Source organism: Homo sapiens, chromosome 17 (genome assembly GCF_000001405.40).
Source record: "Homo sapiens chromosome 17, GRCh38.p14 Primary Assembly".
Lineage (NCBI taxonomy): Eukaryota > Metazoa > Chordata > Mammalia > Primates > Hominidae > Homo > Homo sapiens.
This window is the reverse complement of record NC_000017.11, coordinates 22248583-22266458: the sequence shown is the minus strand read 5'-3', so window position 1 is coordinate 22266458 and position 17876 is coordinate 22248583. Positions and strand designations below refer to the sequence as shown.

At 35.5% G+C, this 17876-nt stretch overlaps 1 long non-coding RNA gene across 1 annotated transcript in view; it reads left to right on the top strand.

Annotated features, from left to right (window-relative positions):
• The first annotated feature begins 100 nt into the window (after nt 1-100).
• Nucleotides 101-17876, top strand: part of LINC02002 (long intergenic non-protein coding RNA 2002) — a 32033-nt gene continuing 14257 nt past the window's right edge. The window contains exons 1-2 of the long non-coding RNA NR_187277.1: nt 101-307; nt 11970-12113. This is a non-coding gene — a long non-coding RNA (long intergenic non-protein coding RNA 2002). The remainder of the gene's footprint in view (nt 308-11969; nt 12114-17876) is intronic.

The window sequence follows — 17876 nt, the reverse complement described above, 5'->3', positions numbered from 1 at the left end:
CGCCAAGCCGCAGGGATTTGTCGCTAGGTGACGGTGGCATTCATTGTGACGCTAGCCAGAATTTACAGCTCAGGCCTGGCGCCCTGAGACTAGCGCATGCGCTTTAGCGAGGCAGTCTCGGGCGCCCAGCTGTCAGAGCTGTTAGCCTGCTTAAACAGAGGAAAATGGTACAGGCAGAGCTGGTCTGGTATCAGGAAAAAGGCTGCCTACGATAATCCACTGCAGGACCCTAAAAGTCTCGACCTTAGGGCCCCCTCGGACCGTCTCCAAGGTCGGGTCCCGCTGGAGAAGGAGGCATTTCGAGAGTGTGAGTTGGTCTCTGGAAACTGCTCTTCTGACTCCCTTCCCGAAAGAGGCTGCGTTCAGGAATCGGGTCCCATGGGGATTGGAATATAGTCTGGTGACCTGTTGAGGGGTCTTTGGGTGATGAACTCATACCTGAGACCCCAGAGGCGGGTGTCAGCGAAAGATGGCCGGGCCTTTGACCTCATTGCCTCCCTTCATCCTGGGCCTCGCAGGGGCTCTCTGGGAAAGGCAGGAACTACGGCAAAGGCAAGTCCAAGGCGTAGCAGTGTTCTCACACCTTGAACTGGCCTCTCACGGGTGCAGAGGAGGTTGAGACATTGTCTCAGAGGCCGTCTGTGGCGATTGCAAGCATGAAAAGGGTGTCCAGCAGTGCTGTTGAGGGGCACTGTTGACCCCCCCCGCCCCCATGAAAACAAAGGAAAATCAAGGTTTGCATGAGAGAACGAGCTGACTTGTGCTGGAGTCCAAGCAACGTTCAAGGATTCCTGTCAGAGGACCCAAAAGTCTCCTGCAAAGTGCAAACAACCTCAGGCACCACAACGAGATCATAATACACAACCTGGAGCATGGCCTGCCTACCCGAAGTCCCTTTTGCTCCCTGAAATCCCCGGCAGCCAATAGAACTGTGGCGAGAGGCAGTCCCACCCAGCAACAGCCCAATGAAAGAGCCTCTCCACTATGAGAAAGGACGTGCAGATGAAATGAAACAGAGCCTAGATTACCAGGCAAAAGCCAGCCATGGCTGCCTGCTTTTCATCCTATAGGAATCATGCAGCCCTCCAATAGGAGTAGGAGAACAAGAGTTTCCTTTTTGGGGGATATGGTGAAAATGCTTTGTGATGTGTGGATTTATTACATAGAGTTAAACATTTGTTTTGATTCAGAAGGTTGGATACACTCTTTTGAAATGTCCCCTCATTTGGAATGTCCCCTCATAGATTTGTACAATCTTTTGAAATGTCCCCTCATTTGAAATGTCCTCTCATAATTTTGTACTGTCTATGAGGGAACATTTCAAAATTTTTTGAGGCATATAGTGAAAAACTGAATATCCTGGGATAAAAACTACAAAGAAGCTATGTATGAAAATGCTTTCTGATGTCTGATCTCATCTCACAGAGTTAGCCTTTCCTGAGATTCAGCAGGTCAGAAACACTTTCTTTCTAGAATCTACGAGGGAACATTTTTGAGCAAATTGAGGCCTATAGTAAAAAACTGATTATCTTGTGATAAAAACTAGAAACAAGCCTTCAGTGAAATGATTTGCGATTTCTGGATTCATCTTATGAAGCTAAATCTTTGTTCTGATTCAGCAGTTTTTAAGACTTTTTTTGTAGAATCTGTGAAGGGACATTTGGCAGCCCTTTGATACCCATTGAGAAAAACATAATATCCCCTGATAAAAACTTCATGCAAGCTGTCTGTCAAAAGGCTTTAGAATGTGTGTATTTATCTCACAGAGTAAACCTTTGTTTTGATTCAGCAGGTTGGAAGCATGTTTTTTGCAGAATCTAAGAAGAGACATTTCAAAGCACATTGAGGCCTATAGTGAAAAACTGAAAATCCTGTGATAAAAACTACAAACAAGCTGTCTGTGAAAATGCTTTGTGATATGTGAAATTATGTCACACATTTAAACATTTGTTTTAATTCAGTAGTTTGGAAACACTCTTTCTGTAGGATCTACGAGGAGACATTTCGGAGTCCATGCAGTCCTATAGTGAAATAACAAATATCCCATGGTAAAAACTAGAAACAAGCTATCTGTGAAAATGCTTTCGGATTTGTGGGCTCATCTGAAAGAATTAAACCTTTTTTTTGATTCATCAGGTTGGAAACACTCCTTTTGTAGAATCTACTAATAAATTTTGTGGAACCCATTGAGGCATATAGTGAAAAACAAAATATTCTGTGATAAAAACTAAAAGCTTGCTATCTGTGAATATGCTTTGTGATGTTTGGATTCATCTTACAAAGGTAAAACTTTCTTTAGATTGAATAAGTTAAAAACACTCTTTTTGTAGAATCTGAAAAGGAAAGTTTCAGAGCCCATTGAGGCCTATACTAAAAAACCAAATATTTCACGATATAAAGTAGAAACAAGCAATCAGTGAAAACACTTTGCTATGTGTGAATTCATCTCACAGAGTTAAACTTTTTTTTTTTTAGTAGGTTGGAAAAACTCTTTCTGTAGAATCTGCGAAGGAACTTTTTTAAGCCCATTGAGGCATATAGTGAAAAACTGTGTATCCTGTGATAGAAACTAGAAACAAGCTATCAGTGAAAATGTTTTGCAATGTGTGGATCTATCTCACAGAGTTAAACCTTTGTTTTGTTTCAACAGGTTGCAAACACTTTAACTGTGGAAACTATGAAGAGCCTTTTCGTAGTTCATTAAGGCCTATAGTGAAAAATTGATTATCCCACGATAAAAACTAGAAACCCTATTTGTAAAAATGCTTTGCAATGTGTGGATTCATCTCACAGAGTTAAACCTTTGTTTTCATTCAGCAGGTTGGAAACACTTTTTTTGTAGAATTTCAGAAAAGTTATTTGGAAGCCCATTGAGGCCTATAGTGAAAAACTGAATATTTTCAATAAAAAAACTAAAAGAAAGCTTTTTGTGAAAATGCTTTGCAATCTGCGGATTCATCTCACAGTGTTAAACCTTTCTTCTGATTCAGCAGATTGTTAACACTTTTTTTTGTAGAATCTAGGAAAACATGTTTCAGAGCCCATTGAGGCCTATAGTGAAAAACAGAATATCTCATGATAAAAACTAGAAGCAAGTGATCTGTGAGAACACTTTGTGATATTTGGATTTATCTGACAGAGTTAAACCTTTGCTGTGATTCTGCAAGTTGGATACACTCTTTTTGTACAGTCTACAAAGGTACATAGACCCATTGAGAAGTATAGTGAAAAAACGAATGTTCATCAATAAAAACTAAAAAGAAACTATGTCTGAAAATGCTTTGCAATGTGTGATTTCATCTCACAGAGCTAAACCTCTCTTTTACTCAGCAGATTGTGAACACTTGTTTTATAGAGTATACAAAGGGACATTTCACACCCATTGATGCTTATAGTAATAAACCAATATTTTGTAATAGAAACAATAAAAAATATATCTCTGAATACGCTTTGCCATGTGTGGATTCAGCTCACAGAGTTAAACCTTTGTTATTATTCAGCAGGTTGGAAACAATTTTTTTGGAGGATCTAAGAAGGGACACTTTGGAGGTCATTGAGACCTGTAGTGAAAAACCGAATATCCCATGGTAAAAACTAGAAACAAGCCATCTGTGAAAATGTTTTACATTGTGTGGATTCATTTCACAGAGTTAAACCTTTTTTCTGATTCAGCAGATTGAAAACTTTCCTTTCGTAGATTCAACAAAGAAACATTTCAGAGCCCATTGACAAACCGAACATCACACAATAAAAACTAAAAACAAGCTATATGTGAAAATACCTTGTGATGTGTGGATTTATCTCACAGAATTAAACCTTTGTTTTGATTCAGCTCTTTGGATACACCCTTTCTGTACAATCTATGAAAAGAGTTTTAGAAGCCTGTTGAAGCCTACAGAGAAAAGTTGAACATCCCATTATAGCAATAACAAATAACTGTGTCTGAAAATTATTTGCAATGTGTGATTCCATCTCACAGAGTTACACCTTTTTGTGATTCAGCACGTTGATGAACAACCCATTATCCCATGATAAAAACTAGAAACAGCCTCTAAGTAAAAATTTTTTGCAATGTGTGGATTCATCTCATAGATTGAATCCTTTGTCTTGATTCAGCAGATTGGAAAATATCTTTTTGTAAAATCTACAAAGGGATATTTTGAAGCCCATTGAGGCCCATAGTGAAACACTGATTATCCTGCAATAAAAAGTAGAAACAATCTATCTTTGAAAATGCTTTGCAATATGTGGATTCATCTCACAGAGTTAAACCTTTGTATTTATTCAACAGGTTAAAAAAAAACTTTTTTAAATAGAATATACAAAGGACATTTCATACCCATTGATGCCTATAGTAAAAAACCGAATATTTTGCAATAAAAATAACAAAAATTCTATCTCTGAAAATGTTTTATGATGTGTGGATTCATCTCAAAGAGTTAAATCTTTGTTTTAATTAAGCAGGTTGTAGACAGTCTCTTTGTAGAATCTAAGAAAGGATATTTTGGAGCCCATTAGGGCCAATAGTGAAAAACCAAACATCCCACAATAAAAACTAGAAAAAAGCTACCTGTGAAAATGCTTTGTGATGTTTGGATTCATCTGATAGAGTTAAACCTTTGTATTTATTCAGCACATTGGAAACAGTCTTTTTGTACCATCTCTGTGGGACATTTCAGAGGCCATTGAGGCCTACAGTGAAAAATTGAATATCCCACTAAAGAAACTAGAAACAACCTATCACTAAAAACTCTTTGCCATGTGTATATTTATCTCACAGAGTTAATCCTTTGTCTTGATTCAGCAGTTGGAAACACTCTTCTTGTAGAATCTGCAAGGGTACATTTTGGAGCCAATTTTGGTCTACGGTGAAAAACCAAATATCCCACAATAAAAACTAGAAACAAGCTATCTGTGAAATTGCTTTGTGATGTGTCAATACTTCCCACAGAGTTAAACATTTGTTTTGATTTAGCAGGTTGGAAACACTCTTTTTATAGAATCTATGAAGGGACATGTCAGAGTCCATTAAGGCCAAGAGTAAAACACTGAATATCCCACGATAAAAACTAGAAAGAAACTGTGAAAATGCTTTGCGATGTGTGGATTCATCACAAAAAGGTAAACCTTTGTTTTGATTCAGCAGGACGGAATCACTCTGTTTGTCCCTTTGTCTACAGAGTGACATTTCAGAACCCATTGAGGCCTACAGTGAAAAACTGAATATCCCACAAGGAAAACTAGAAACAAGCTATCTATAAAAATGCTTTGCCATGCAGAGATTCATCTCCCAGAGTTAAACATTTGTTTTGATTGAGCAGATTAAAAAGACTCTTTTTGTAGTATCTACAAAAGGACATTTTGGAGCCCGTGGACGAGTATAGCAAAAAATCAAATATCCCGCAACGTAAAATAGAGAAAAGCTATCTGTGAAAATGCTTTGAAATGTGTGGATTCATTTCACAGAGTTAAACCTTTGTTTTGATTCAGCAGGTTGGAAACTCTTTTTGTAGAATCTGTGAAGTGATATTTCAGAGCCCATGGAGAAGTATATGGAAAAAGCAAATATCCTTTGATGAAAAGGAGAAACAAGCTATTTGTGAAAATGGTTTGGGATGTGTGGATCCATCTCACAGGGTTAACCCTTGTTTGCAGGCTGGAAACACTCTTTTTGTAGATTCTATGAAAGGATATTCCAAAGTTAATTGAGGCCTGTAGTGAAAAGTTGACTATCTATGATGAAAACTAGAAACAAGCTATCTGTCAAAAGGTCTTGTGATGTGTGGAATAATCTCTCATAGCTAAATCTTTGTTTTTATTCAGCAGGTTGGAAACGTTCTTTTTGTAGAATATACCAAGAAACATTTTGGAGCCCATGGATGAGTATATTGAAACATTGAATATCTTGCAATAAAAACTACAAAGAAGCTATCTGTAAAAATTCTTTTTGTTGTGTGGATTCATCTTACAGACTTAAACACTTATTTTGATTCAGCAGGTTGGAAACACTCTTTTTGTAGAATCTGCTAAGGGCCATATCAGAGCCCATTGAGGCCTACAGTAAAAGACCAAATATCCTGCCATGAAAACTAAAAACAAGCTATCTATGAAAATGCTTTGCATTGTGTGGATTCATCTCACAGAGTTAAACCTTTTTTTCAGTCAGCAGGTTAAAAAAACTCTTTTTGTATAATCTACAAATAAATATTTAAAAGCCTATTGAAGCCTGTAGTGAAAAACAAAATATGTGGAGATAAAAACTAGAAACAAGCTGTCAAAATGCTTTGCAATGTATGGATTCATATCACAGAATTAAAACTTTGTTTTGATTAAGCAAGTTGTAAACAGTCTGTTTGTAGAATCTACAGGACATTTTGGTGCACATTGAGGCCTATAGTAAAAACTGAATATCCCATATCAAAAATGAGAAACAAATTATCTGTGAAAATCCTTTGTGATGTGTGGATTCAACTCATAGAGGTAAAACTTTGTTTTGATTTAGCCAATAGGAAACACTCTTTCTGTAGAATCTATAAAGGGACATTTCAGAGCCCATAGAGAAATAAATGGAAAAAGTGAATATTCTTTGATAAACAGTAGGAACAAGCTATCTATGAAAATGCTTTGGGATTTGTGGGTCCATCTCAAAGAGTTAAATGTTTGTTTTGATTCAGCAGGCTGGAAGAACTCTATTTGTAGATTCTATGAAAAGACATTACAAATCTTATTTAGGCCTATGGTGAAAAGCTGAATATCCCGTGATGAAACTAGAAGCAGGCTATCGATCAAAAGATATTGTGATGTGTGGAATCATCTCTCAGAGTTAAACATTTGCTTTTATTCAGCAGGTTGGAAACACTTTTTGTGGAATATATGAAGGGACATTTCAGAACCCATAAATGAGTATATTGAAACACTGAATATAATATCCTGCAATAAAAACTAAAAACAAGCTACCTCTGAAAATGCTTTGCATTGTGTGGATTCATCTCACAGAGTGAAATATTTATTTCGATTCAGCAGGTTGGAAACACTCTCTCTGTAGAATCAACTAAAGGCCATTTTGGAGCCCATTTAGGCCTACAGTGAAAGAACAAATATCCTGCGATAAAAACTAGAAGCAAGCTATCTGTGAAAATGCTTCATGATGTGTGGATTCATCTCACAGAGTTAAACCTTTGTTTTAATTCAGTAGGTTAAAAAAAATCTCTTTTTGTAGAATCTACAAAGAAACATTTCAAAGCCCATTGAAGCTTGCAGTGAAAAACAAAATATGTGGAGATAAAAACTAGAAACAAGCTATCCGTCAAAATACTTTGTGATGTGTGGATTCATATTACAGAATTAAAACTTTGTTTTGATTAAGCAGGTTGTAAACAGTCTGCAGAATCTACAACAAGACATTTTGGTGCACATTGAGGCCTATAGTAAAAACTGAATATCCGCATTAAAAATGAGAAACAAGCTATCTGTGATAATGCTTTGAAATGTGTGGATTCAACTCACAGAGGTAAACCTTTGTTTTGATTTAGCATTTAGGAAATGCTCTTTTTGTGGAATCTATGAAGGGACATTTTGGAGCCCATGGAGAAGTAAATAGAAAAAGCGAATATCCTTTGATAAATAGTAGAAACAAGCTATCTATGAAAATGCTTTGGGATGTGTGGATCCATCTCACAGAGTTAAATGTTTGTTTTGATTCAGAAGGCTGGAAATCCTCTTTTTGTAGATTATATGAAAGGACATTACAAAGCTCATTGAGGCCTATAGTGAAAAGCTAAATATCCTGCAATGAAAACTAGAAACAGGCTATGTGTAAAAAGGTACTGTGATGTGTGGAATCATCTCTCAGAGTTAAACCTTTGTTTTTATTCAGCAGATTGGAAACACTCTTTTTGTAGAATATACAATGGGACATTTTGGAGCCCATAAACAAGTACATTGAAACACCGATATCCTGCAATAAAAACTAAAGACAAGCTACCTCTGAAAATGTTTTGCATTGTGTGGATTAATCTCACAGAGTTAAACATTCTTTTTCATTCAGCAGATTGGAAATTCTCTCTTTGTAGAATCTACTAAAGGCCATTTTGAAGCCCATTTAGGCCTACAGTGAAAGACCAAATATCCCATGATAAAAACTAGAAACAAGCTATCTGCAAAAATGTTTTGTGATGTGTGAATTTATCTCACAAAGTTAAACCTTTGTTTTAATCCAGCAGTTTGGAAAACTCTTTTTGTAGAATCTATGAAGAAACATTTTAAAGCATATTGAAGCCAATAGTGAAAAAAAAGTGGAAATAAAAACTAGAAACAGGCTATCTGTGAAAATGCTTTAGAATGTGTTAATTCATATCACGGAGTTAAACCTTTGTTTTGATTAAGCAGGTTGGGAACAGTCTGTTTGTAGAACCTACGAGAAGATATTTTGGTGCACATTAAGGCCTACAGTGAAAAACCAAATATTTCACAATAAAAATGAGAAACAAGCTATCTGTGGAAATGCTTTCCAATGTGTGGATTCATCTCATGGAGTAAAACCTTTGTTTTGATTCAGCACATGGAAAGCACTCCTTTTGTACAATCTACAAGGGGACATTTGGGAACCTATTGAGGTCTATAGTGGAAAACCAAATATCCTGTGATAAAAACTAGAAACAAGCTATTTGTAAAAATGCTTTGCAATGTGTGGATACATCTCACAGATTTAAAGCTCTGTTTTGTCAGCAGATTGGAAACACTCTTTTTGTAGAATCTATGAAAGGAAATTTGGGAATCCACTAAGGCCAATAGTGAAAAACTGAATATCCAGTGACAAAAACTAGAAAAAAGCTATCTGTGAAAACGCTTTGCAATGTGTCAATTCATGTCACAGAGTTAAACCTCTATCTTGATTCAACAGGTCGGAAACACTCTTTTTGTAGAATCTAAGAAGGCACATTCAGAGAACATTGGGCCCTACAGTTAAAAACCTTATATCTCAAGATAAAAACTTGAAACAAGCTATATATGACAATGCTTTGTGATGTGTGGATTCAACTCACAGAGTTAAGCTTTTGTTTTGATTCAGCTGGTTGGAAATATTCTTTTTATAGAATCTATGAAGGGACATTTCAGATCCCATGAAGAAGCATATGAAAAAAACCAACATCCTGTGACGAAAACTGGAAACAAGGTATTTGTGAAAATTCTTTGAGATGTGTGGATTCACCTCACAGAGCTAAACCCTTGTTTTGATTCAGCAGGCAAAAATCTCTCTTTTTGTAGGCCTGAGTGGACATTTTGGAGCCCACTGTGGCCTGTAGTGGAAAAATGAATACACACGATAAAAACCATAACCAAGCTATCTGTGAAAATTCTTTATGATGTGTCATTTCATGTCACAAAGTTAAAACTTTGTTTTGATTCAGCAGGTTGAAAGCACTTTCTTTTTGTAGAATCTATGAGGGGGATATTTGAGAGCCTATTGAGGTCTGCAGTGAAAAACCAAACCAAATATCCAGTGATCAATACTAGAAACATGCTATACGTGAAAATGCTTTGTGATGTGTGGATTCATCTCACAGAATTAAACCTTTGCTTTGAGTAAGCAGGTTTGAAGCACTCTTCTTGTAGAAACCATGAAGGTACATTTTAAAGCCCATTGAGGCCTATAGTCAAAAACTGATTATCCTGCAATAAAAACTTGAAACAAGCTGTCAGTGAAAATGCTTTGTGATGTGTGGATTTCTCTCACAGAGTTATACATTTGTTTTGATTCAGCCAGTTGGAAACACTCTTTTCATAGAATCTATGAAGGGACATTTCAGAGCCCTTTGAGGCCTATATTAAAAAACTGAATATCCCACAATTAAACCTAGAAACAACCTATCTGTAAAAGTGTCTCATGATGTTTGGAATGATCTCTCAGAATTAAACCTTGGTTTGATTCTGCAGGCTGGAAACACTCTTTTTGTAGAATCTACATAGGGATTTTTCAGATCTCAATGTGGCCTCAAATGAAAAACAGAGTATCTCATGAAAAAACTAAAAATAATCCTTCTGAGAAAATGCTTTATGATGTGTGCACACATCTCACAGAGTTAAACCTTTGTTTTTATGCAGCAAATTGGAAACTTTTTTTTAGAATCTACAAAGGGACACTTAGGGGCCTATTGAGGCCTCTAGTGAGAAACCAAATATCCCGTGATAAAAACTAGAAACAAGCTATCTGTGAAAATGTTTGTGATGTGCAGATGTTTCTCCTAGAGTTAAGCCTATATTTATATACAGCAGGTGGAAAACATTCTTCTTGCAGAATCTAAAAGAAGACATTTCTGAGCTCTCTGTGGCCTATAGTAAAAAACAAAATATCCCCGTATAAAAACTAGAACAAACAATTTGTGAAAATGCTTTATGATGTGTAGATCTATCTCATGCAGTTAAAACCTTGTTTTGATTTGGCAGGTTGAAAATACTTTTTTATAGAATCTACAAAGAGAAATTTTGGATCCCATTGGGCCTATAGTGAAAAATCAAATATCACACGATAAAAAACTTGAAAAAAACTATCAGTGAAAATGTTTTGTGATGTGTGGATTTATCTCACAGAATTAAACCTCTCTTTATATTCAGCAGGTTGAAAACCCTCATTTTGTAGAATCTGCAAAGGGACATTTCGGAGACCTTTGAGGCCTATAGTGAAAAACAGAATATCTCATGATAAAAACTAGAAATAATCTATGTCTGAAAATGGTTTGCAATGTGTAGATTCATCACACAGAGTTAAAACTTTATTTTTATATGGCATTTTGGAAACACTGTTTTAGTAGAATCTAAGAGGGAAAAATTCTGAGCTAGTGAGGCCTACAGTAAAAAACCAAATATCTCGTGATAAAAACTGGAAACAAGCTATCTGTGAAATTGCTTTGTGATGTGTGGATTCAACTCAAAGAGTTGAACTATTGCTTTGATTCAGCAGGTTAGAAAAACTCTTTTTGTAGAATCTATGAGGGGTATTTTTGAGCCCACTGAGGCTTACACTTAAAAACAATATTCCACGATGAAAACTAGAAAAAATGATATTTGTGAAAACGCTTTGCAATAGGTGGATTCATCTCACAACGTTAAAACTTTTTTTTTCAGCAGGTTGGAAACTCTTTTTTTGTGCAATCTATGAAGAGACATTTTAAAGCTTATTGAGGCTTACAGTGAAAAACCAAATATCCCATGATAAATCTATATGAAGCTGTCTCTCAAAATGCTTTGCAATGTGTGATTTAATCTCACAGAGTTAAACGTTTCTTTTGATTCAGTGGTTGGAAACACTCTTTGTGTAGATCTTCAATAAAACATTTCAGAGCAAATTGAGGCCTACAGTGAAAAACTGAATATCCAGCAATAAAAGCTAAAAACAAGCTATCTTTTAAAAATGCTTTGCAATATGTAGATTCATCTTACAAAGTTAAACTTTCTTTTGCTTCATTGGCTTGGAAGCTCGGTGTTTGTAGAATCTATGAGGGGACAATTCAAAGACAATATTGACCTGTAGAGAAAAACCAATATCCTGCAATAAAAACTAGAAACAAGCCTCTGTGAAAATGCTTTGTGATGTGTGGATTCATCTCAAAAAGTTAAACGTTGTTTTGATTCAGCAGGTCAAATTTGTACACTCTACAGAGGAATGTTTCAAAGCCCATTGAGCCTTAGTGAAAAACTAAACATCCTGTGATAAAAACTAGAAACAAGCTATCTGTGAATATGCTTGGCAATGTGTGAGTTTATCCCACAGAAGTAAACCTTTGTTTTTATACTGCAGGTATGAAAAACTCTTTTACTTGAATCTAAAAGAATAAATTTCTGAGGGCTTTGAGTCCTATAGTGTAAAACCAAATATTCCATGATAAAAACTAGAAATAAGCTATCTGTGAAGATGCTTTGCAATGTGTGGATTCATCTCTCAGTGTTAAACCTTAGTTTTGTTTCAGCAGGTTGGAAACACCTTATTTGTAGAATCTACGAAGGGACATTTTGGAACCCATTGAGACCTATAGTGAAACACTGATTGTTTCACAATGAAAACTGAAAACGTTATCTAGGAAAATGCTTTGCGTGTGTAGATTCTACTCAGACAGGTAAACCTTTGTTTATATACAGTAGGTTGGAAACACTGTTTTTGTAAAATGTGAGAGAGGGCAATTTAGAGTCCATTGAGGCCTATAGTGAAAAAATGCAATATTCTGTGAGAAAAAGTAAAAAAAGTTTATCTGTGAAAATGCTTTGTAATGTGTGGATTCATCTTACTGATTTAACCATTGTTTGTATTTAGGAAGTTGATAATAGTCTCTTAGTAAAATCTAAGGAGGAATATTTTGAAGCCCATTGATGTTTATATTGAAAAACCAGTTATCCCACGATAAAAACCAGAAAAAAGCTATTTGTGAAAAATGCTCTGTGATGTGTGGATTCATCTCACAGAGTTAAAATTTTGTTGAGGCCAACCCTGAAAAACCAAATATTTTGTGGTGTAAACTATAATAAAACTATCTCTGAAAATGCTTTGTGATGTGTGATTTCATCCCACGGAGTTTAACTTTTCTTGATTCAGCAGGTTGGAAACAATTTCTTTTGTAGAATCTATGAAAGGGCATTTCAGAGCCTATTGAGTCCTACAATAAAAAGTGAATATCCCTTGATAAAAACTAAAAAAAGCTATCTGTGAAAATGCTTTGCAATGTGTGAGTTGATCTCAAAGATTATATTGAAAAACCAATATCTGGTGATAAAAATTAGAAACAAGCTATCTGTGAATTAGCTTTGCAATGTATGGATTTATCTCACAGAGTTAAACCTATGTTTATATACAGAGGTTGGAAACACTCTTTTAGTAGAATTAGAAAAAAGACATTTCTGAGCCCTTTGAGGCCTATTAAGAAAAACCAAATATTTCCCAATAAAAACTGAAAACAAACTATCTGTAAAAACACTTTGCCATGTGTGGATTCATCTCACAGAGTTAAAGCCTTGTTTTGATTCAGCAGACGGTAAATACTCTTTTTGTAGAATCCACCAAGGGACATTTCGGAGCCCATGAAGGCCTATAGTAAAAAACCAATAAAAACTAGAAACAAGCTGTGTGGTAAAATGCTTCACCATGTGTGGAATCATCTCACATAATTAAACATTTGTTTCTATTAAACAGGTTGGAAACACTCTTTTAGTAGAATCTATGAAGGATCATTTTGAAGCCCATTGAGGCCTATAGTAAAAACCAGATATCCCATGATAAAAACTAGAAACAAGCTATCTGTGAAAATGCTTTGTGATGTGCAAATTCATCTCATAGAGTTAAACCTTACTTTTAATTCAGAAGGTTGGAAGCACTTTTTTTGTAGAATCTAAGAAGAGACATTTCAAAGCCCATTGAGTCCTATGGTGAATAACCAAATATTCCCTGATAAAAACTAGAATCAAGCTATCTGTGAAAATGCTTTGCAATGTGTGGATTTTTCTTACAGAGTTAAACCCTTGTTCTGATTCAATAGTCTGGAAACACTAATTTTGTAGACTCTACGAGAGGACATTTTGGAGCCCCTTGAGGCCAATTCTGAAAAACTGAATATATCTTGATAAAAACTATAAAGAAGCTATCTCTGAAAATGCTTTATGACATGTGATTTCATCTCACAGAGTTAAACTTTTCTTCTGATTCAGCAGTTTGTAAACACTTTCCTTGTGGAATCTATGAGGGGATACTTCAGAGCTCAGTGAGTGTGACAATAAATAAATGAATATCCCTTGACAAAAACTACAAACAAGCTATCTGTGAAAACACACTGAGATGTGTGAATTCATCTCACAGAGTTTAAACTTTGTTTTGATTCAAAAGGTTGGAAACACTTTTTTTGTAGAATCAACCAAAAAACATTTCCGAGCCTGTTGAGGCCTATAGTGAAAAACCAATATGCCATGGTAAAGTCTAGAAACAAGCTGCCTGTGAATTATCTTTGAAATGTTTGGATTTATTCCACAGAGGTAAACCCTTTTTTGTTTTTGATTCAGCAGTTTGTAAACTGATGTATAATCTATGAGGAGACATTTCAGAGCCCATTAGAACCTATAGTGAAAAACCAAATATCTTTTGATAAAAACTAGAAACAAGCTAACTGTGAAAATGTTTGTGATGTGTGGCTTTATCTCACAGAGTTAAACCTATGTTTATATACAGCAGGTTGGCAACACTCTGTTAGTAGAATCTAAAAGAAGAAATTTCTGAGTCCTTTGAGGCCTATCATGTAAAACCAAATATCCCCAATAAAAACTGAAAAAAACATTATCTGTGAAAATGCTTTAAGATTTGTGGATTCATCTCACAAAGTTAAACCTCTGTTTTGATTCAGAAGGTTGGAAACACTCTTTTTGTAGCATCTACAGAAGTAAATTTTGGAGCTCACAGTGGCCTGTACTAAAAAAACTGGATATCCCGTGATAAAAACTAGAAACAAGCTATGTGTGAAAATGTTTTTCAATGTGTGGATTCATGTCACAGAGTTAAACTATTCTTTTCATTTAGCAGGTTGGAAACCCTCTTTTTGTAGAATCTATGAAGGGACATTTCAGAGCTTATTGAGGCCTATAGTGAAAAACCGAATATGCCATGCTAAAAACTAGAACAAGCTCTCTGTAAAAATGTTCTGCAATATGTGATTTCATCTCACAGATTTTAACTTTTGTTTTGACTCAGCAGGTTGGAAACACTCTTTTTGTAGAACCTATGAGGGTACATTTCTCAGTCAGCTGAGGACTATAGTGAAAGACTGAATATCCTGTGATAAAAACCAGAAAGAAGTTATCTGTGAAAATTCTTTGCAATTTGTGGCTTTATCTCATGACGTTAAACTTTTGTTTTGATTCAGCAGTTTGGAAACTCTCTTTTTTTTACAATCAACTGGGAGATATTTCAAAGCCTATTGAGGCTTATAGTGAAAAACCTAATATCCCACTATAAAAACAATAAAGAAGTTATCTCTGAAAATGCTTTGCAATGTGTAATTTCACCTCACAGAGTTAAACCTTTCTTTTGATTCAGCAGGTTAAAAACACTCTTTTTGGCTGGGCATGGTGGCTCATGCCTGTAATCCCAGCACTCTGGGAGGCCGAGGCTGGTGGATCACGAAGTCAAGAGATCAAGACCATCCTGGCCAACATGGTGAAAACCCTGTCTCTACTAAATATACAAAAAATTAGCCAGGTGTGGTGGCAGGCATCTGTAGTCCCAGCTACTCAGGAGGCTGAGGCAGGAGAATGGCATGAACCCGGGAGGTGGAGCTTGCAGTGAGCCAAGATCACACCACTGCACTCCAGCCTGGGCAAAAAAGAGCGAGACTCATTCTCAAAAATGAAACAAAACAAAACAAAACAAACAAACAAACAAACAAAAAAACACTCTTTTTGTAGAATATATGATAGGACATTTCAGAGCAAACTGAGGCATATAGTGATAAACCAAATATACTGTGATAAAAACTAGAAACAAGGTATCTGTAAAAATGCTTTGTGATGTGTAGATTCATCCCACACAGTTAAAACTTTGTTTTGCATCAGCACGTTGAAAATGCCCTGCCTGTAGATTCTACAAGGGGACAATTTGGAGCCCATTTTGGCATGTAGTGAAAAATCAATATCCCACGATAAAAACTAGAAACATCTATCTGTGAAAATGCTTTGCAATGTGTGGATTTATCTCAAAGAGTTAAAACTTTGTTTTGATTCAGCAGGTTGGAAACACTTTTTTTTTGTAGAATCTAAGCAGGGACATTTCAGAGCCATTTGAGGCCTATAGTGAAAACCGAATATCTCACAAGAAAAACTAGAAGCAATGTATCTGTGAAAATGCTTTGTGATGTGTGGAGTCATCTCACAGTGTTAAACCTTTCTTCTGATTCAGCAGGTTGGAAATACTCATTTTATAGAATCTACAAAACAATATTTCAGAATCCATTGAGGTTTATGGCAAAAAATCAAATGTCCCACAATAAAGACTAGAAAAAAGCTATTTATGAAAATGATTTGCGATGTGTGGATTCATCTCACAGAGTTAAACTTTGGTTTTGATTCAGTAGTTTTGAAACACTTTTTTTGTAAAATCTACAAAGGAATATTTTGGAGCCCATTGAGGCTTATGGAGAAAAACGGAATATCCTGTGATAAAAACACAAAGCAAGCTATCTGTGAAAATTTTTTGCCATGAGTAAATTCATCTCACAGAGTTAAACCTTCATTTTGATTCAGTAAGTTGGAAATGCTCTTTTGTACAGTCTATGAGGGGATATTTTGGAGCCCATTGAGGCATATAGTAAAAAACCAAATGTCCCATAATAAAAACTATAAAAAAGCTATGTCTGAAAATGCTCTGTAATGTGTGATTTTATCTCACAGAGTCAAACCTTTCTTTTGATTTAGCAGGTTGGAAACACTCTTTTTCTTGAATCTACGAAAAGACATTTTGGAGCAAATTGAGGCCTATACTGAAAAACTGAATATCCCATGTTAAAAACTAGAAACAAGCTGTCTTTGAAAATGCTTTGTGATGTGTGGATTTCTCTCACAGAATTATACCTTTGCTTTGAATCAGCAGGTTGGAAACACTATATTTTTAGAATCCATGAAGCAACATTTCAGAGCCCAAGGAGGACTATATTGAGAAACTGAATATCCTGCAATGAAAACTAGAAATAAGCTATCTGTGAAAATGCTTTGTGATGTGTGGATTCATCTCACAAAGTTAAACTTTGGTTTTGATTCAACAGGCTGGGAACACTTTTTTTTTGTAGAATCTACAAAGGGACATTTTGGAGCCCGTCGAGGCCTATGGTGAAAAACTGAATATTCCCTATAAAAACTAGAATCAAGCTATCTGTGAAAATGCTTTCTAATATGTGGGTCTCAGAATTAAAACTTTGTTTTGATTCAGCAGTTTAAGAACACCCTTTTTGAAGCATTGACAAAGGGATATTTTGGAGCCCATGTGCATATATATTGATAAACCAAATATCCTATGATAGAAACTAACAACTATTTATTTGTGAAAATGCTTTGCAATGTGTGGATTTATCTGAGAGAGTTAAACTTTATTTTCACTAAGAAAGTTGGGGCAATCATTTTGTAGAATACACAAAAAATACATTTTGGAGATCATTGAAGCCTACAGTAAAAAATTGAATATTTCACAATAAAAACTAAAAACAATCTATGTGTGAACTTGATTGGCAATGTGTGGATTCATCTCATGGAGTTAAACCTTTGTTTTGATTCAACAGGTTGGAAATGCTTTTTTTTGTGGAATGAACAAAGGGCCTTTTTGGAGCCCATTGAGGTCTATAATAAAAAACCTAATATTTCGTGATTCAAGCTAGAAACAAGCTATCCGTGAAAATACTTGCTGATGTGTGGATTAATTTTACAGAGTTAAATCTTTGTTTTTATTCAGCAGGTTAGAAATGCTCTTTTTGTAGAATCTGTGAAGGGACATTTCAGAGCCTATTGAGGCCTAGAGTGGAAAACAAAATATCCCACAAAAAAAAAATAGAAACAAACTCTATGTGAAAATGCTTTGCAATGTGTTCATTCATTTTACAGAGTTAAACCTTTGCTTTCATTCAGCAGGTTGAAAACACTCTTTTGTAGAATCTACAAGGCAACATTTCTAAGCTGATTGAGGCCTATGGTGTAAGAGTGAATATCTCGTGATTAAAACTAGAAACAAGCTATCTGTGAAAATAATTTGTGCAGTTTGCATTCATTTTACAGAGGTAAACCTTTGTTTTGATTTCATAGGTAGGAAACACTCTTTTTGTAGGATCTACAAGGGGACATTTCAGAGCCCATTGAGGTCTACA